The 20,265-nt window shown below is 42.6% G+C and overlaps 1 protein-coding gene across 1 annotated transcript in view, besides 3 other annotated features; it reads right to left on the bottom strand.

Moving 5' to 3' along the window:
- XKR4 (XK related 4) overlaps positions 1 to 11,714 on the bottom strand; it is a 440,027-nt gene extending 428,313 nt beyond the window's left edge. The window contains exon 1 of the mRNA NM_052898.2: positions 10,448 to 11,714. Coding sequence (NP_443130.1) covers positions 10,448 to 11,253 — 806 coding nt within the window. The 5' untranslated portion in view covers positions 11,254 to 11,714. The remainder of the gene's footprint in view (positions 1 to 10,447) is intronic.
- Positions 10,058 to 10,723: an enhancer, noted in NCBI's record as "H3K4me1 hESC enhancer chr8:56015579-56016244 (GRCh37/hg19 assembly coordinates)". NCBI's record gives its function as "activates a minimal SCP1, AML or CMV promoter by ChIP-STARR-seq in naive H9 embryonic stem cells {active_cell/tissue: H9 hESC(naive)}" and the evidence as "EXISTENCE:reporter gene assay evidence [ECO:0000049][PMID:30033119]".
- Positions 11,392 to 12,059: an enhancer, noted in NCBI's record as "H3K27ac hESC enhancer chr8:56014243-56014910 (GRCh37/hg19 assembly coordinates)". NCBI's record gives its function as "activates a minimal SCP1, AML or CMV promoter by ChIP-STARR-seq in naive H9 embryonic stem cells {active_cell/tissue: H9 hESC(naive)}" and the evidence as "EXISTENCE:reporter gene assay evidence [ECO:0000049][PMID:30033119]".
- Positions 12,471 to 12,640: a silencer, noted in NCBI's record as "silent region_19200". NCBI's record gives its function as "represses an Ori minimal core promoter by ATAC-STARR-seq in GM12878 lymphoblastoid cells {active_cell/tissue: GM12878}" and the evidence as "EXISTENCE:reporter gene assay evidence [ECO:0000049][PMID:35858748]".

Here is a 20,265-nt window from a genome sequence, read left to right as displayed (position 1 = left end):
AAAGGTGGGAGGGTGGAAGGGGCACGAGGAATGAAATGCCACCTATTGGGTACAATGTTCACTCTTTGGGTGACAGGTACACTAAAAGCCCAGACTTCACCACTATACAATGTATCCATGTAAAACAACTGTACATGCACCCAGTTAATCTATAAAAATTAAATAAATATATATCAAGTTGACCTCATAAACCTGACCATTATCACAACTCAAGTTTTTCTTTCTTTGCCCCTGGAAAAAACTCATCTAAGAGGAGCTTGGCCTGGCTGGCGAAGCCCTGCTTTAAGCTTAGCTGTGATGTATCTCATAATGGAGGTCAGTACGATTTTCCTACTCCTTCTAAGAACTGAAAATCTGCTCTCTGATTGTGGAATAAAATTATTTCTTTTTGTTCATTTCTCTCAGGGCTAAATTTTTCTTCCACTAGCTAACAGATGCATGCCTTATGGACAACATGCTACTTTCCTATTAGCAGATTAGAGAAGGCAACACAGTGATATTTTCTAGAGTATTTGGACATGCTTGTTAGATAAAACCTTCAGGCTTCCTCCCTCTTTCTCATTTGATCCCAACCTTATTTCAAAGTAGGTAGATATTATATCCTTAAATAATTGTAACTCTTTATGACTTTTCAGAAGTAAGAACTCAACTAATATTGGTGCTTTCCTTAGGATGAGGTAAGGAAACCCACACCCCTCTAGAACTCAAGTTTTCAAACCTAGCCATCACCCCATCAGGAAGAAAATCCCACAAGGTATGTATTTGTGACTGCCACTCTTACGAGTAGTAGATTTCCTGGAAATACAAAACTTTATTGAGACATGCCTCTTAATTTATGTTATAATAACAAATTCAGGTATTATAAACTGTTTGGGACAGTCTTCTGGAATTAGCCTACATTTTAAAAATGGATTGTTATTAATTTTACTCTTGCAAAACAGGAAGTTAATTAATGAGCTGGAAGTCTATCAAAACAAAAAAAGCCTTTACAAATCCTTTCCTTGCCTCACTAAAGGATCATTTCCTCATTGTTACCGTCACACTGATACAGTGACTATGCCATGAACTAATGATAGAAGTTATAGGGAATCATTTAGTTGATGTTATTGCTACGATTGCTACCTTTGCTTTGATTATTGACTCTCTGCTCCCTAAAAAAAAAAAAAAAAAAAAAAAAAACCTGAAAAGTAAAGAATTCAGCCCCAGACTGAGATCTTTATTCATGACTATTACCTGTACTGCAGATAAAAGAAGTCAGACTGCTTTCACATGGATGAAATCTGTCAGATTGGTGATTCAGAAAGGCAACTCTGTCCTTCTTAAATAGAATGGACTTGAGGGGAAGTCAAACCAGTCATCTCAAGTCTTTTTCAAGTGGTGTTCCCTATAGATCCTACTTCTATATGTGCATGATTCTCTATTTGACTCATCGTTACTCACCCCACACAATGCCCACTGCTCTGTTTATATAAAAGGATTCCCCAACAGGGAAATATGGCATGTGTATAAATTAAACAAAAGAAGTAGAACTGATTCAAACAGCCTACTTATGAATCATAAAGATGAGAAAATAGTTTGACATACTTTGTTCAGATAATTTTAAAACGGATGCTTAAGGTTTTTAAAAATTTTAAATCTGAAATGTTGGCATGGGGTTAAAAATCGTTCAGCTTCACATCAGATTTCTAAGAACCTAGAATCCAGGGAATTCCTATCCCCAGGGAGTTCTCAGGGAAGGCTAATGCAATGCTCTGTTCTTCTAGCAGAGTGCACCATACCCCTATTTTTAACAAGGATAGGCCTGGATGTCATATCTTTGTTTTAAATCCAATTTTAAATCCAATTTTCAGAATATTAAATCAGTGACAGTGTGACCCAGGACAAGCTTTTAATTTAAAAGCAAATCTAGCTCTGGCAACCATTTTTCTCATTGACATAATGGATAGTTCTTTCAAGCCTGTGAAGCGTTGTTCTTATTTGTTAATCACAGCACTCCAGCTATGCATACCTCACCACATGAAATCTAGATGGCAATTTTGGCTTCTCCAGTCTATATGGTATATATCTTAGAATCAGTGACACGGAAGACTTTTGACATCATTTCGAATATGTAGATATGTGTTTTTAATGAAAATTGTTTTATTTGATTATAGCTAAAATTTGGAAATGACATAAGGTTAATTGCATTATGTAAATACGCTTAAGACTCTCTATGTATGAACCATGCCAGTTCCTGGGAGTTTAGACACTAATATTATCAACCCTGGAAAGTCCCTTGTATATCCCCTTGGACTTACATAAACAGAGAAAGCCTACAACAGTGGTCTTAGAACACCTGTAGACATTCTAGTGCATATACCCTAGGTACTAGGCAAGTGAAAAGAATGTATAATAAGAGCAGAATCAGAACTTTAGACCTGGAAAGAACCTAGGATATTATTTTTAACCAATCGCATCATACAGATAGAAAATTAAGACCCAGAAGGAGGAAACCAAAAGAAGATCTAGTCTATGAGGCTCCAGGAGCTGGGCCGTATGTGTCATCTGCACCCACAATGGCACATGACCCAGAGCAGTCAGGTAGCCTGCCTGGAATCTGCTGCTATTGGAGACCAAATCATTTCTTCTGATACCCCATATTTAGTCCAATTCCCAAAAGGACAGATGCCTCTTTAAATAAGCTTTATCACTGACATTCTAACTATGACCCTCTCCGTCTATTTTAGGGTTAAAAAAGACCTAATGGTGTCACTCAGACCACCTCAGGGATTTTCCTTTTAATCTTTCTCTAGTTTCTCCTACAATCAGCAATCTATATCAGTTCTATACATATACTAGATGTAGAATTGATGTTTTATGATGATAAGAATTACAGTGATGATGGTGGTGGTAGTAACAGTGGAGGCTGCAAACGTTTTGAGTAGACTGAAGCATAAAAAATACCAAAAATTCTTCCATATATAAGTATATTTTCAGATAGTCAAGTATAGGTAAGAATTCAATGAAAAATACCTATCAGATAGCTTCTCCACCCTGACTATTCTATCAGCAAAACCAGGAATACAAAGCTGGGCTTCCAGCTGCATTTTTCTCAGAGTGTAACTAGCGATTCACAAAATTTACCCCTATTTTCCCAACACTAGTAATCTAAAAAAAGAGCTGGGGTAATTTTTCCTATCCTTCCCAGATGACATTGCACCTTTTCTGATTCACCACACCATTAGAATCTCAGAGAAGCCACTAAGTAGTAAGTTTAGCTACACCTTCATCAAGAAGAAAGAATAGTGCCTGGGTTCTATTCACAGATCAGCAGATATTCACTGAGTATGTATTCTTTTACCTTAAGTTCCACAACCACTAGACTAACTTCATGAGAACTTGCCATGGTCTTCCTTCCTGACCAGCCATGCTGTCACTTACCAAGGACACCATCATGTTGTTGGGATGAGGTCACTTGTTATGGTGGTCAGAATCATGCAATGCCATTTAAGAGAATATTTCTTATAGAGTATTATTAAATATAATTTTCCCTAAATTCCAACAACAATTACACATTGCAAGATCACACCTGATAAAACATTCCCTCCTGACTAGCACCATACTGAGCCTTTTATGTGAAAATGCATAAGAATAATAAATCCAACTCTAATCTCTGGTCTTGCTTCCATAGGTCCAGTTAGTTGTTCCATACAAATTTCTAAAGTAAGTAAAGAAATGTACTAATCAGATTAGCCAGTAAGTCCATGTGAAGGAGAATCAGTACATTATTTGTTAGACAGTGATTGTGTTACTTAAATTCATAGGTGGACTATATCATTCAAACTGTAACATATAAAATATATTTACTAGCAAGTTGTGTGCTTGGATACTCAATCATGAAGAAACATTTTGTAAGAGATTGAGCAAAGACTTTCAAAGCTATTGCTCCAAGGATTTGTGGACATTGTTCAAAACTGATAGTATACATGTATACAGATGCTACACATTCAACTGTTCTGTTAAGTTAGTCGGTTGGGGAGTAATAAGTATAAAAATATTTACCCTTGTGAAGTAAACACTTCATAGTTCAAGTGAATGGAAAAAATTTACAATCTTTGCACTAGTTATTGCAAAGACATCACAGAGATATACCCACCACAGAGATTTATACATAAATTATTCCAATTCATACAGAAACCCAGGTAAATGCACAAGGAGCTGTCTGATTGTGTGTGGATTTATACCTGTCAGCTAACTCAGAGATCTTGATGCCAAAGCCAGCACTCAGGGGTGGCATATGGATTTGTGATGCTCCAGGGAAGATACTGAGTCTATAAACCAACGAATAGATTTTAAAGTGGCACAATTATAGTGTTGCACGAAAATTCATTCTACTTCTTTCATCCACAAAAAAGCAAAGGTTAGTCTAATATGTTTGGAGCAGCATGTTATGATGGAGATTATCACAAAATCTCAGAGCTGGAAGATGATCTTCTGGTACAACCCTCTGTATGAGAGTTAGTCTCTCTACCACATCTCTACCTAATTTTCCTGACTATGCTTCGACACTCCAGTGATGGGAAACTCACTGCTTCTAAGGAAGCCCAGTTGATCTGCAAATATCTTCGACTACTAAAAAACTTCTTCCTTCCATCAATTCAAAATCTCTTCCTATAGGTCCCACCCATTTTGTCCCAGGGGGCCTACACAAAAGTCCAATGCCTCTTCCAGGTTACAACAGTTCAGCACTTACTATGGAGCTCTCAAGTTTTCGGGCTTCTCTTCTACCTCATCATCCTCAGTACCATCAGCCATTTTCCATGTTGCTTTCACCCCTCCCATATCAGTATTGAGTTCTAGCTTAAAATCTGTCCAGAAATATATGACCCAAGGAGGAAAACAATTAAAATTCTCTCTCTCAATTTCCACATCTGCAAAATAGAAGTGCTACCTCCAAGATCATTCAAAGGGTCAAATAAGAAATAGAACATAGAAGCTCTCTGGACAGTTAAATGTGACTAATAAACATAAGGAATATATTTCTATGGATCAGAAGAACTAACTTTCAATAAGGTAAAAACCACTGTATCCTAAGAAAATAACTCTTCAAATAGTAACACCAAAGAAAGTTTTGCCAATAATTTACTTTAATATTATTTTAATATAAATACAATTAAAACTTTCAACCAACTTGTTTTTCTGAAAAATGACTCTCCCATTATGATGGGTCTATTTATATGTCCCAATGACATCCAAACTCAAAGCCTGTGAAGCCAATAGATTTCCATGAATGACAGAGACATGACTGAGTCAGAGATGAATAATGACATAGCCTCTGAAGCTTTCAACTTTCTGCCATTCCTTTGAATAAAACAGTGTTTTAACACTTTTCTTAACAGTCCTCACCCCCTATAATCCTTCATGACTCCTTCATGCCTTCAAAATACAATCTAAATTCCTTTCATTATCTGGCCCAACTAGTTCTTCATCTCATCTCTAGCTACTCTCCCTCCCTCACTCCATATGTAGAGCATGCACTTAACCTGCCTTGTTCTTTCTTGCCTCTCTGCCTTTACACATTGCATCCAGGGCTCTAAAGTCAATGTCCCACTTTACTCAGAAAGCAGATTTTTCTCATCCCTCAAACCTTTGCTCAGATATCCCCTCTTCCAGAGAGTCTTACCTGAACCATCAAGGCAGTTTGCGTTTCCTGTTTCTATCGTGCTTATTTTCTTCTATTGAGATGGTCTACTGACTTTTCTGTCTTCCCTATTAGAGAGTAGATTCCTTGAAATATATATATGTTATTCATCTTGGAATAATTAGTAACAAGCACAGTGCCTTGCACATAGCAGGTGCTCAGTGTGTGTTGAATGACTAATTAATTTATATGTATAGAGAGGAAACACATATATGCAGAAAATAACCATTTGATAAACTCAGCAAATGGCACCAATCTTGCCTAATCTATATCAGAATTCAGGACTAACTCAGAATTGAAGACCACCTTTTTTAATAGTCAAAGGTGTAACCTATATCCTCCTTAGTTTTTCTACCCATTCTTTATCTCTAGAACCTCTTTATCATTTGTAATTAACTTTTCACATATTCACATACATTATGCCATGTAATCATTAAAACTACTACGAGATCATGTTCCTTAGCTGGGATTTAATAAAACAACCTCAGTATGTCCAAATGGTATAGTAAGTTAGGCAATGAACTGGGAGTTCAAAGAGCTAAGCTCAAGTCTCTGTTTTACTGTTTAACTACCAGTGTGTTATTGGAAAGATCCCCTAATCCATCTAAACTGCAGCTCCCTTTCCCACTTTGCCATCCACAGTGAAGGTAAATTGTTATTTTTATACATTGTTGTCATCATTATCCAAGTTGGCATTTGGAGGTAGCCAGTTCAGCCAGAAAAAGCATAGACTGTATGGTAAAATGGGCCCCGTTTTTAATCCTAACTACACTACATAATAGTTGGGTGACCCTATTAAGAGGTTAAGCCGCTTACTTAACCTCTCTGAGACAGTTGTCTCACATATACAGATACTAATAATTTTCTTTTAGGTTATTTTAAAATGTAGATGACATAAAAAGTAGAAAAAAACATTTGTATATTTTTAAAGTGCCAATAAAATTGTTATTATTTTTGTTTGGCCAGTTTTAAGAATGGCATATTTATCCAAGTGCTTTGCATGCATCATTATAAGAATGTTTAATAGATGTGACTTTAAAAACTTAACTGATAACTGTACCTTAGCTTATAAAAGGCTCTGAGAAGTCCTGCTGTAGAGAGAGCTGTTTAACTTTGTTTAATCTGTCATTTTCCCAACTTATTTGAACATGGGACACAATCAGTGCCTTCTGGAATAGCAAGCATGACAAGAGCAGAAAAAACTGCATTTTCCTCACATTTTTCCCAGATGACTCTCATGATGGAGACTCAAAAACAAAACCCAGAAGAGTAAGAATAGTGAAAATGCTCCCCACTCTACCATCCACTGACTCATTATTTACAATGTGCATATTTTCTGGAAAATAATTAACTATGTACATACATACATAGGAGAAATTCAGGTAGAGTTTTAAGAGTAAACTTCATAATTTCTGAAGGAAAAAGACATTTGGAGGCAATTGATCAAAAGCATGAGGACTAAAAACTGTTCTCTTAGGGAATTTGTGATTCCCACTGGCTAAACTGCACTCTTAGTAATTTCTGGAATCATATGAGAAAAATAAGAAAGGAAAGTACTTTCGCATTCATTCACAGGCACAGTTCCTTTAAAGTCATAATTGCTCTTTTCACATGGTAGCAAAAATTCACTTTATTATTTCAAATAGCTCTTTCCCAAGCTCACCTCCTGCGACTTTAAAAGCTGCCATTAATTTCCCATTAGTAAACTTTAATTAAAATGAATATGTATCATTGCTTTTAGCAGTTGCATTGTAACATATGTATAAATACATGCAAATCTTACCCACAATGTTTCAATGGCTATTTCTAAACAAGCAAATGCTTTGATGTTATTTCAAAAGACTGTATTTAGAGAAAGCTTTTAGAATCTGGTCCTTCCCTAAAATAATTAGAATTTCATGGAAACACAAGAAGCAGTTACCAACCTAGCTAAAATCTATTTTATTGATCCCAGAAAGTAGCATGTTAAAACATGAATAATGACCTCTGTGCTTTGAACCACTCAGTACTCTGGTGTTTCTGCAATATTTGTGTATAATGTATTGAAAAGAAAAGCTAGAAGAGGCACAGGGATGCTTCTAATTTAAGGAATCATAGTGAGTCTAATAGAAAAATCTGAGATGAGTTGCACTTCGTCGGCTTATTAGCAAAGATGCGTCTACTCCCCCAAAGTTCCACATGAATGTTCAACACTCAGAGAAATAGAAACATATTAGAGCGCATCTGAGTGTTAAGTTCCATAAGCTTTCTTATCCCTTTCCAACTTCCTACATTAGGCTAAAGTTTTGTTTTTTTGAAAAATATACTTCATAAACAGAAAATGATGCTGATTAGTCTTAGATCACGCTTTCACCAGATTACTCTGGCATCCCCCAAATATTTTAATCAGAATCTGAGAATAGTTAGATTAGATGATAATTCAAACTTATCTACTACACACATTATTCTGAAAATGTTGACAAATATTTCCAGAATATTATATCTGATAATATTTCCAACTACAATATTCCTCCTAGATGATCATGCATTATCAGTATTAACTTTAAAGCCTCTAAGGAAAATACTATAGAAATGCTTAACTAAAAGGAGCCATGTGTGACCACAGTTTCTCCAAGTCTGGGTCAGTTAATACATTTGTCTGACAGCCTGCGGTTTTCTTTCTACATTCAAACCTTACCCTTCCATCCCTTCTCTCCCCGCCCCCACTCCCTACCTCTGAAATAACTTTTCTGTATGATAAGTTGGCCCAGTGGCTATGGTCTCTCTGACATGTTTTTAGGCTCATATCTTTTCCTAATTATTTCTCACATTCTGTATATTATTCCCCTAGAAAATTAAGAATCATTTTTCAATTGGGGAGATGTTTGGTTTAGAAGGTATAGTAAACACAACTATAATTAAAAGGACTTCCTCGGTTCACAGAATTTAATATCAGATTTTTCATAAAGAATCAATCTGTAAAAAAAATTACAGTTTTTCAGTTAACAGGATAGAGAAGTATTTGAATTATTTACATAAGTCTAGAAACTTGAAAGGTGGTTAAAATTAAGTGATTTCCAAATCTTGATAAAGTTTGAAAAAGTTAACAAATGGAATGTTAAGCTTAATTTACCAAATTATCAGATTAGAAATGCTAATCAGATGCATCCTAGCCAGTCAGTAATTTCAGTAAGTAAATTAAGCACTTAAGTCCTTCATCATACTTGAAGAGCATCAAGCTATAAGTCTTCCCAATAGTCATCCATGGGAAATATAGCTATCATATTTAACTAGAATTTCAAAAAGTTACTTTGAGTCCAAAATATGTATGAAGGTTCCAACATCAATTTGTCTGACTACATATCAAATATCACTTTTTCAGAAAGTGTGTGCTTGAAAAAAAATGTTTCACAATCTGGAAGGTCACCATCTATGGCAATGTTCAGTCTGCTTTACAAAGCTCTGGTCCCAGGAAAGGTTGTGAAATCACCACACTTGCTCTTCTCAGGTGAACATATGGTTGTTCATCATAAATAAAAAGAAGTTTGTGGTTCTAGTCCACAAATCCTCTAACTTGTTTCCACAGGTGATACTTCGGCATAGTCAAGAACTCACATCTTTTATCACAAAAATAGCCACAAATAAAATTGAAAAAGAGCACCAGTACCACAGAGTGTAGTCCCATATTGGTGTACTTTCTAGGAATTGTCCTCATTTCGCTTATACCACCTGTTTACTAAGTTATTTTAAAACCAAAAAAGCTCTGACATGTTAGAATCTATAGACTTCCATATAAGTAATTTTTATAGATGTAAAATATTGCTTCGAAATCTGCTAGTAGCATATAAAAGTCAAAAGAATGTATTCCTGAGCATACTATTTCATTCTGCTCCTAAGTCCATGCAGTGACTGTTCAAGTGGTGGTTTCCCTCTGCCCAAGTTTAGCCTTGTATTCCAGTTTATAACTGAAGTGATCCCTGTGTAAAAAGACTTGGTAGATCAGATGACAAGCAGCAAAGTAGCCAACGAAGATACCAAGTACAACTAAAGTTAACATGGTGCCCCACCCCTTTTCCAAAGGCTTGTAATTATATGAGAAATTAGATATGGAGATATTGCAAGATAATCAGAAAGGGCACTCTAAAAGTAAATCTGGGCCCCATAAAGCTTACTGAATCATGCTCGGGGATATATATATATATATATATATATATATATATATATATATATACAAAGTCATTTGCCTATTAGGATCTTTACTTTGAGTAAAGCACTTCTCCAGCAGTGATCATTAATATGTGGGTACTTTTGAGCAGCAGCAACTCCCATTTCACTAGAATTAGCAATTTTTTTTCCCCAGGGAACAAAAGAAACCATCCAAATGGCAACACACACCTCAAATTCAATATAATAATAAAGGAATTTTAGAAGATGTGACAGGAATCCTCTCCTACTCACTGAAACAATATCACTAAAAATGGGGAAGCGGGGAGGGGGGTTGTGGCATGCCAAGAGCAAGAAGCCAGTAAGGCAGAGTGGGAAGACAGAAGGGATGAGGTGATCGAAACCACTTTGCTGTCCTTCCCTTGCTTCTCACTTCCCTCCCACCCTAGACTGAGATTGCAAATTTTAAAAATGCAAGCCCCAGTTCAAAAGAAACCCAAAAAACTGGAAGAGTGTGACTAGGGTTACTACCAAAGCAACCCTGAAAGATTTCCGTGCAAAAGCAAAGCAGTGGGGATGTAGTAGCAGCAGCAAGCCTCCCTTTTCCCCCACCCATTACAGTACCTCCAGATTTGCCCGAGCTGCAAGATGTGGATGAGTGACTGCAGGAGCCAGATGCAGAAGGAGCAGGACGCAGACCTGTGCTTGCCACTGGCCCGGGTAGCCCCGCTGCTGTTGCTGCCGCTGTTGGCCGCGGCGATGTTGCTCTTGCTGGCGTTAGATGCTTGCCTTTGCGGCGTGGAAGGACGAGCCTCGCCTTCCCCGGCTGCAGACCCACCGCCGACCACCGTCTTGCAATCGGCTCCAGGCTGCGGGCAGCTGGAGGCAGCAGCGGCCGTGGCGCTGTCCTCGGTGCTGAAATCGTGCACAAACCAGCGGAAGCTGAACACTTGCACCGACAGAGAGCCGAGCACCACGAAGAAGAGCGTGAGCCCGAACCACCAGCGCTGGCCGCGCAGGTAGTAGTCCACGGCGAGCCAGACGTCTGTGCCCACGTCCGCGAAGTACACGGCCACGGCGGCCAGGATCCAGAGGCAGTCCCACAGTGAGTAGCGCCGCTGCTCCCTGCCCAGGCGCAGGCACAGCGCAGCCGAGCCCGCCCCGCCGCCGCCCGGGCCGGCGACGCCGCCGGAGCCGCCCGAGCCCGCGGAGCCGCCACTCCCGGCGCAGCAGCAGCAGCAGCGCGAGCAGCCGCCGCCGTCCGGGCAGCAGCCGCCCCCGGCCGCCTCCTCGTCCTCGGCTCCCGACCCCGACGGCAAGCCTGGAGCCAATCCCTGCACCGAGCCCGAGTGGTCCGAGTTCTGCAGCGGGGTGAACGCCACGTCGCTGCTTTTCTTCATTTTCAGCCTCCCGTCTGATTTAGCGGCCATGATGCCTCCACACCGGAGGAGAGCCCTCCTTTATCTGACACCTTTCCCCGCTGTCTCCTCCTCCCGCCACCTCCTCGCCTCGCCCCGGCTTCCCTCCCAGGCGGTGCGGCTCCCCCTCCTCCTGCTCCTGCGTCGGCTCGCCTGCCGTCCGCCGCCGCCCGCCGCCCGCCGGGCTGGGCGCTGGGCCGGGCTAGCGGCGCGCCTGGGGCCGGCAGGAGCGCCGCCTGGCTGCCTGCGCGGAGCCAAGCTGCTCGCGGCGCCCCGCGCGCGCCCCTGCCCGCCGCCCGCGCTCCTCGCCGTCCCGGCTTCGCTGCTGCCGCCCGAGCCGCCGCCGCCGCCAGCAGCAGGAGCAGCAGCGGCCGCCGCGGCGCTCCTCGGACCTGCACATTCCTCTCCTCCCCTCGCGCGCGCTCCCTCCTCCCGCTTCCTCTCCTCCACCAGCTGACTCCGAGGGAGAGGATGACCTCATCCCTTCTCTTCCAGCTGCCGTCGCTCCCACCCTGGCTCGGGAGGGGCGAGGGAGGAGGAGGGACCCGGAGGAGGGGCCGGGACCGAGAGGAGCGGCGGGCGGGGGTTGGGGGACTGCCCTGGCGGGTCCCAAGGGCCGGGAGGAGCGGCCAAGGGGGCCTGAGGGTGACAGTCGAAGGCCCCCACTCCCGGGATTTCGGAACGCTGGGTGGATTTGAGCGACACTGGGGGAGGGGGAGGAGCGCGCTGAGAGGAGGGGTCCCTGCGTGCAGCCCTCGCGGAGGACGGCGGAGAGTGGGCACGGACGGGTGTGGCGGCAGCAAGGGCCAGGGAGGAGCAGGCCTCTTTGTATTCCGGTCGGAGCCGCCAGCACCTGGAGAAGGGCTGGGAGCGCGGCTCTGGCCGACGATGGTGGGGAGAATGGGTGTAACTCGGGCGCCCGGGCTCGGAGGCCAGCAGCGGCAGTGGGCGTGCCCGGCCTTGCCAGAGAGTGCAGGGGAGAGAAAGGCGTACGGGGCTCGGAGCGCGGAGCCTGGTGCCGCGCCGGCAGCTGAGGGCGGGCGGGTCCGCTGGGAGCCCCGAGCCAGCGCCCTCGGTGGAGGCAGCCGGCATTCCGAGGGCTCCCGGCTTCTCCGGCGGGCGGGGGTGCCTGAGCTCAGGCAGGTGCGGAGGCGCTCCCGCCCTTCGCGGCCCAGGCCCCTGCCCGACGCCGGGGTCCCTCGCACGTTCTCGGCGGCTGGAAAGCTCTGAGCCGGGAGGAGCGGCAGCCCAGTGGGCACCGCACCGGCCCTCGAGGCGTCCTGCGGCAGGTGGGAAGCGCAGCACCCCTGGCGGCGGCGCGGGGCGCGGCCGGCAGCCGCGGGAAACCGAGTGCCACCCCACCCCCGGCCCGCGGGCGGGGAGTGGCGGAGCCCGGAGCAGGCGCCACCTCCCTTACTCCTTACTCCAAAACTAGAAATACCTTCTCTTAAAGCTATAGGGATTGCAAACTAGCTGTGTGGTCCCACAACTCCAGAAATGACTCGAAAAATTAAATCTGTGATCGGAGTGATTCAAGGAGAATACAAAATATGTTGTGGTTTTAAGAGATTTTTAAAACCTCAATAAAATATAGGATCTTCATTTTTTTAATAAGGAAACTTAAGCTTTGATTTGTCTCACTTAGCTTTTGCAAATGTAAGAAATAGAGAGTGTAATTCTTAAATTATACTGTGACTCACATACTTGGGAGGTAAGTGAGGCAACACGAGTTACACTGCCACTAGGAGCACCAGTTGGATCTTCTAAATCAGGAGGCAAACCATGACACCCCCCACCCACCCCCGCTTCTCTCTGGTAGGCGCCAGGTGAGTTCGAACTAGTACACAGTGCCATTCTTAATGAGTAACATTATGAAATAGAAGTGCACGGATTTCTCTGCACGTGGAAAGAGCCGCCTCACGCATTGTGTGCTACGTATCAAGGGCTGTGTCATCACCAACCTGGATAAAGTGGAATTTGCCCCACGCTCTGGATTCATTGCCTTTTATTCTCACAGACTGGTGCCCAGGACCCTCCCTTGGTTGGCCTTGACCTGACATTTTGGCAGGAGGGTGTTGAGTCATAGAGTCTCTACACGATTACATGGCATGTACAAATCCGGTATTTCTAGCGAAAGGAATAGCCAAGTGATGGCTGAGGGGCAACACAGTCCCACTAAGATGCTTAGTATGCCAGGCAAGCGGGTATATTTTTAAATCCAGCTTTAAAATTGGGTCTTCTTGGAGTAGAAGAATCCTTTTTTGGAAAACACCCTGATTCTATTTCTCCGGAGTCCAAATCTAAGATTCCATCTCCAGGGTGCTACTGCTGATCTTACTCTCTGCCAAACCACTAGGGAGAGAAATGATCTCTTAGGTAACTGGGTCCTAAGGGATGGAGTGTATTCTAGGTCAAATGCAGTGTCTTAAATTACACCAGGCATGAAAAGGCCCTGCAGAGTATCTGAGGTGCTGAAGACCTGGGGCTGACTAAAGGTTCCCCTAAAACAGGATGTTTCTTATTCGACTGTATCCTCTGCACCTGGCACAGCACATGCACAGACTATTTGCTCAATAAATATTAGTTGAGTGAATGCATGAATTTATAGAAAGAACATTCCATGACAGGAAGAATGCTGCATTCTGTGCTAACGAATGTTCCCATGGAAACACAGGAATTATGAAACTTTTTATGTTAGGTTCTAAAAAGAAATAACTAGTAACGGTTTCTTTATCAATACATTTATTCAAAAGTCTCTTTAAGGTTGCTGTCTGAACCATATCTGGAAAGTAATGGTGACGGGTAGTTAGTGGCAGGAGTTTACAAGCAGGAGGTCAGAGGATGAGCTTCACATCCAGGCTTTGCTAATTACTGGCCCCATGACCCTAGCAAATTAATACACAGGATTAATATGAGGATTAGATGAGATCATGTATATTACAGGGCTTTGTATACAATACTGTTCTCAAGAGTCTCTAATCTCATAAGTCTAGTAATCACATTTTAGGATATAGATTTTAATATTAACTGCTCTATCATAATCATTGCACCTGTCAAGGCAGGTGGACATAATGGTTGCAAGTTCAGAGTTTGGACTTATCTTTGTGCATGTTATTTAACTTGCCTGTCCCTCATGCTCATCGTTTGTTAAATAGAGACAATAATGATCTCTAGAATTTGGTCTTGTTGCCAGAAACAAATACTAATACTAATAACAAGGAGGCATGTGAACTGTTTAACGCTGTGTCCAGCACACTCCACACACAACATTCTGTTAATATCTTTCCTGTTTCTTCCAGCCCCCTCATGTCTTCTGGCTTCTAAACTTTTGTGTTTGGCTCTCCATCTCTACTTAAAACTAGAGTTCCTCAAAACACAGTCCTTGGACTACCTGCATCACAATCAGTTGTTGTTTCTTACAGATTCCTGGCCTATCAGAAATGTGATCTCTCCATCAATGATTTTGTCTTCCATCCAATCTGAGAGATTTATTCTCATTGTATAACCCAGGGGTCCCCAATTCCTGGGCCATAAACTGGTATAGGTCAGTGGCCTGTTAGGAACTGGGCCACACAGCAGGAGGTGAGCTGTGGCAGGCAGGGTGAAATTACCACCTGAGCTCCGCCGCCTGTCAGATCCGTGGAGGCGTTAGATTCTCATGGGAGTGCGACCCCTATTGTGAACTGCACATTGAAGGGATCTAGGTTGTGTCCTCCTTGTGCGAATCTAACAAATGCCTGATGATCTGAGGTGGAACAGTTTCATCCCAAAACCATCCCCCCAACAACCCCAGTGGAAAAATTGTCTTCCACAAAACCGGTCCCTACTTCCAAAAGGGTTGGAGACAGCTGGTATAACCTAAACCTTAGCATTACTCAACAGCTTCATAATCTCCACTTTACATACCTCACACTCTGATTAACCCCTCCTAACTCATGAGCTCACTCTCTCCTGTACCCCTGGACCTGTTTTCTACCTCCTTTTCATGTCCCTTAACCCCTTCATGCCCCCCCTTTCTTCTTACACGATGTAAATTCCATGCTCAATCATGATAGGCACCTCTCACACACTTCCTCATCTCTGTTGTCCCTCTTACTCGACAAAACACCAGCCCTGGTTAAACTCTGTTCTCCACCTACATCAGGCCTGACCCTGTGTAACTGGCTGTAGCTGGAGAAGGGGCGTGGCCCTGCACACTGCACTTCTTTCTATCCTGGACCTTTACCCTGAAGTGGACCCAAAGGCTGCTCCACAGTCACACCTCATCTTCCCAGTCCATTTGCATTCCTGCTCTTTTAAATTATGTCTTTTTATATTTTCCTTTCTCAAGCTTTAAACACCTCCTTCCCCATTCTTACTCTCCCCTGATGACTCTGCTTCCTATTTCACTGAGAAAGATGAAGCGACCAGAGCAGAACCCACACAAGCGTTCAGCACCTTCTCTGCCCACCTGCCAGCACGTGTACCACTCAGCCTCCTGCTCTACAAGGCCAACTCCCTTGCTGTTCACCAGCCCCCACCCCTCTTACTGCTCAAGAGCTCAATTCCACACTCATTGCTTCAATTATCAATGTTCCCTCTCTCCTGTACATCAGTGTACAAACACACTCCTATGTATCCACTAGTTAAAAAACAAAGCAAAACAAAACTTTTGATTCCAATTCCCTTTCTAGTCACCACTGCACTTCCCTGAAACCTTTTGCAACAAAGCTCTCTAAAGTTGCCTAAACTTGCTTTCTTCAATTCCTGTTCTTCGATCCTCTCTTGAACACATTCAAATAAACCAACAATTGCTCCACTGGAACTGTTCTTACCAAGTCGCTGGCAGCCTATTGCCACCTTACTGAACATTTCAGTCTCACCTTCCTTGACCCCCTAGTGGCATTTGACATGGTAGAACCTTCTCTTCTCAGTGAAATCTGCTCTTCCCTTGGCTTTCACTATATCACACACTCTGGGGTTTTCCCGTTTTGAAGTCTACTTCTTTGCTAATTCTGGGTCCCTTGCTAATTTCTTCTCATTTCTCCTACCTTTAAGCTGGTTCAGTCTTCATATCTTTCTCTACGTGTATTAGTCCATTCTCACACTGCTATAAGGACATACCTGAGACTGGGTAACTTATAAAGGAAAGAGGTTTAATTGACTCACAGTTCTGCAGGGCTAGGGGGGCCTCAGAAAACTTACAATCATGACAGAAGGAGAAGCAAACATGTCCTTCTTCACATGGCGACAGCAAGGAGAAGTGCTGAGTTAAGCAGGGGAAAAGCCTTTTTTAAAACCATCAGATCTCATGGGAACTCACTCACTATCACAAAAACAGCATGGAGGTAACTGCCCCTGTGATTCAGTTACCTCCCACCAGGTCCCTCCAATGACACATGGGGATTATGGGAACTACAATTCAAGATGAGATTTGGGTGGGGACACAGCCAAACCATATCACTACCTATTCTCACTCTCTTGATACTTTCATAAAATGTCATGTTTAAAATTACACCTATATGCTGGTGACTCCTGTATTTATTTCCCCAGGCTGGAAACCCCCTGGATCCCAGAATACACCCAACTGCTTTCTCAACATCTCTACTTGGATGCCTCTAGGCATCTCAAATTTAAAACATCCAAAACTGAACTCCAGATCTTCCCCCTTCAAAATCTGCTGCTTCTTCCTCATTTCCTTTAATGACAATTTTGTTCTTTAAGTTTCTCAAGCCAAAATAGGGTCGTCATCCTTGACTATATCTTTTTCTTAGACCCCTTGTCTCATCTGCCAGAAAATACTTCAAATTACATTTTTGAAGCCAGGTGTGGTGGCTCACACCTATGATCCTAGAACTTTGGGAGGTCAAGGCAAGAGGATTGCCTGAGGCCAGGAGTTTAAGACTAGCCTAGGCAACATAGTGAGGCCCAGTCAGATGTTAGCAGTAATGCATATTCTGGTGTGGCTTCTGTGTTGGCGTCTACTAGGATAAGTTCAGAGTTCAGTGGGAAGTGTGTAGGCTCTCTGCAGAATGGAGAAGTTATCCTGTTTCCCCATGTTTGTCACCACAAAGTGAGGTGGAATCTTGGATTGGAAATCAGAATTATAAGGCCCTAGGTAGGCAGGTAACAGAGCAAGACCGCCTTGAAGGTGGCCTAGAGGTAGGAATTAGGTATCTGAATGAAGGGAGGAGAGTACCCCACTCACAATAAGGATAGCCAAAGGAGGATATGAAGTGAAGGTGTAAAGAAAATGAAACAAGACTTATGGCTACTTGGAAAAAAACATTCCAGGAATAAAGAACAGCACATGCAACCACCCTGGGGCAGTAGCTTTCCTGGTGTGTTTGAGAACTAGTAAGGAGAACAGTGTAGCTGGAGTGGATGAAAAGAGTAGCTAAGGAGTCAGAAATAGGGTTAGAGAAAAACCGATTGTCTGGGGGTCAGATTATGTAGGACCTTGTATGCTAATACAAAAACTCTCCTTTTCATGTGTGCAAGATGACAAGATATTGGACAACTATAAGCCAGGGCTGGCTTCATGGGTGTGCAACCAGAGCAGGTACACAGGGCTCCATGCTCAGAATGTCCTCATGCTTCAGTGCTCTCATGTCTCCAACATTTTATCTTTGAATGTGTGTTTTGTAAGTGAAGTGCAATGGGATGACAGAGCATGTGCCAGGGACCTGGAGCCTCAGCTCACATATGCTCCTGGCTCCCTGTCTTCCTAGGATGGACTCCAGATGCTTACTAACTACCTCCTGGAGTAGCCTGCCTGGCTACTCCCTCTGTGCTATTGCCCACCACCCCAGTGGGGGCTTGGGCATAGAAGTGTGGGTGTCAGAGTCAAGCATGTGCCCCATGACATTTCAGGATGAGAAAGGGTGACTCTCTCCTCCCTGGGCTGGCAGCACCAGGTGCATTCAGCCAAAGACTAAGTTGGGGCCTGTCACCCACCTGGGATCCAGGTGCTGATCATGTCCAGGTAAAGACCACACTCTCTTAGAAATTGCTTAGCCACTGTGGGTTGGGGTGGAGGTCAATGGGAAGGGGGATTTATTTCCCTGACCCTGGCTGGGGTCCTGCATTTTAGTTTGCACTGGGCCCCACAAGTTATGTAGCCAGCTCTGAGGAGCAGTCAGTGAGTAGTTGAATAGTGTGATCTGGCATGCTTTTTAAAAGGATCACTGACTGCTCTGCTGAGGGTAGGGAAGCAAGGGTGAAAACAGAAAGACCAGTAAGAAGACAAGAATCTAGCTGAGAGAATTGTGTGTCAAATCAGGGGGATCAGGGAGGATGGTAGGAAATAGTCAAAAATATTTATGTATTTTTAAGATGGAGTCTCAGCTATCATTCAAGCTAGAGTGCAGTGGCATGATCATAGTTCTCTGCAGCCTCAACCTCCTGGGCTCATGTGATTCTCCCACTTCAGCTTCCCAAGTAGATGGTACTACAAGTGTGTGCTACCACACCCAGCTATTTTTGTTTTTTAATTTTTTGTAGAGATGAGGTCTCAATATGTTGCCCAGGCTGCAAAATCCGTTTTTGTAATTAACTTTCCAGATATCCATTTAATAAAGGGAATAACACATGGCTCTGTAATGTAATGTTAAACTATGAGATTAAAAGCTTACAACCAAGAGGAAATAAAATTATGTTATGCCCTATGTTTTTCAAATACATTGCCTTACTAAAGCCTCATTACACGTTTGTGAAATAAACCCAGACAGATCTACTACTACTATTTAAAGAAGGAGAGAGAGAGAGAGTCAAATAAGACTTTGAGAGTTTGAAAGACTGCCCAATACCACAATTCCTATGGGATAAGTTAAGAGGATGTAATGTTTTTCTCCCAAAACTACAGAGACTCTTGAAGCATTTAAAATAAAAGAGTGGCATGCCTGGTTTTGTGTTTTGAAATATGCATTATGGTAGCAGAGTGGAGAATTAAAGGGCGACTTTGTATAAAACCTTTCTGATTTATGATAGTCCACTAATCTCTCATGTATACTCCATGCCCAGAGCCTAACACAGTGTCTGGCATATTAACAGACATTTAATAAATATTCTAGAAAAAGCTTTCCCAGACAAATACTCTGCAGCTCTTCTGAGGATTGTTAGAACTATAATTGTTGCTTTTGAAATGCTAAAGCTTGAACAGCATAGAGACTGCCGAAATGCTACTCAAAAAATCAGCAAAAATGACTGTTCAGAAAAAGTGAGGGCAATGTTAAAAGACTAAAGTTTAAAAGTTAGTTGAAGAAGGAGCAGGTTAGTGCTAAGAGATACAAGTACCAACAATTGTCATTAGAGGAATTGAGGGGGTTGAGTTGTCCCAAAATTTTAATTTCCATATTGGCATAGCAATATCAACTAAGTAAAGGAAAAAACCACAAAGAATGTAGGTTAGGGTCCAAAATGAAGTATCTCAAATGCTGGGAACACAGGTTTAGATTTGAAGTCAATTGAAAGATTGAACACAGGTTTAGATTTGATGTCAATCAAAAGATTGACATCATTTTCCAATAGGAACAAATGATAAATGGTGATTAAATCCCCAAGACAGCCAATAAAACCTGTTTAACCCTGACAGCGCTGAAACGTAAATTTGCAATAGAAAAGCAGAAAACATATCATTTCCATACTGACACTTATTATTAAAAAATTAAGATTTATCAAGAGAGTTTTATTTCTATTAGAAGCTGGTACTTGAGAGAAAAGTAAGATAATGGAAAAGTAAATGAGCCCTTCAGAAGAAGGAACTTAATTCTTCCCACCAGGCCCCTCTTATTGTGGCCTGCGCTTAGCAGCTTGCTGCCAAAGAATAAAGTGTGGGAAGAGGAAGAATAACTTTATTTGGAGAATATTGCAAACATTCCCTTAGCGGGGTGATCAAGATCAACATCAAAAGGGATGGCCGCTGTCAACATGGAATGAGGACACTTCATTTCTGTGGTTTTCTTCCCCAAAACTTATGACCCCAGTCTAAACATAAGGAAAACAAAAGAGAAACATAAATTGAGAGACATCCTGCAAAACACCTGA

The sequence above is a fragment of the Homo sapiens genome, chromosome 8 (genome assembly GCF_000001405.40).
Source record: "Homo sapiens chromosome 8, GRCh38.p14 Primary Assembly".
NCBI classification, from domain to species: Eukaryota; Metazoa; Chordata; class Mammalia; order Primates; family Hominidae; genus Homo; species Homo sapiens.
Note: the sequence above shows the minus strand (reverse complement) of the source record. Positions and strands in the feature narration are given on the sequence as shown.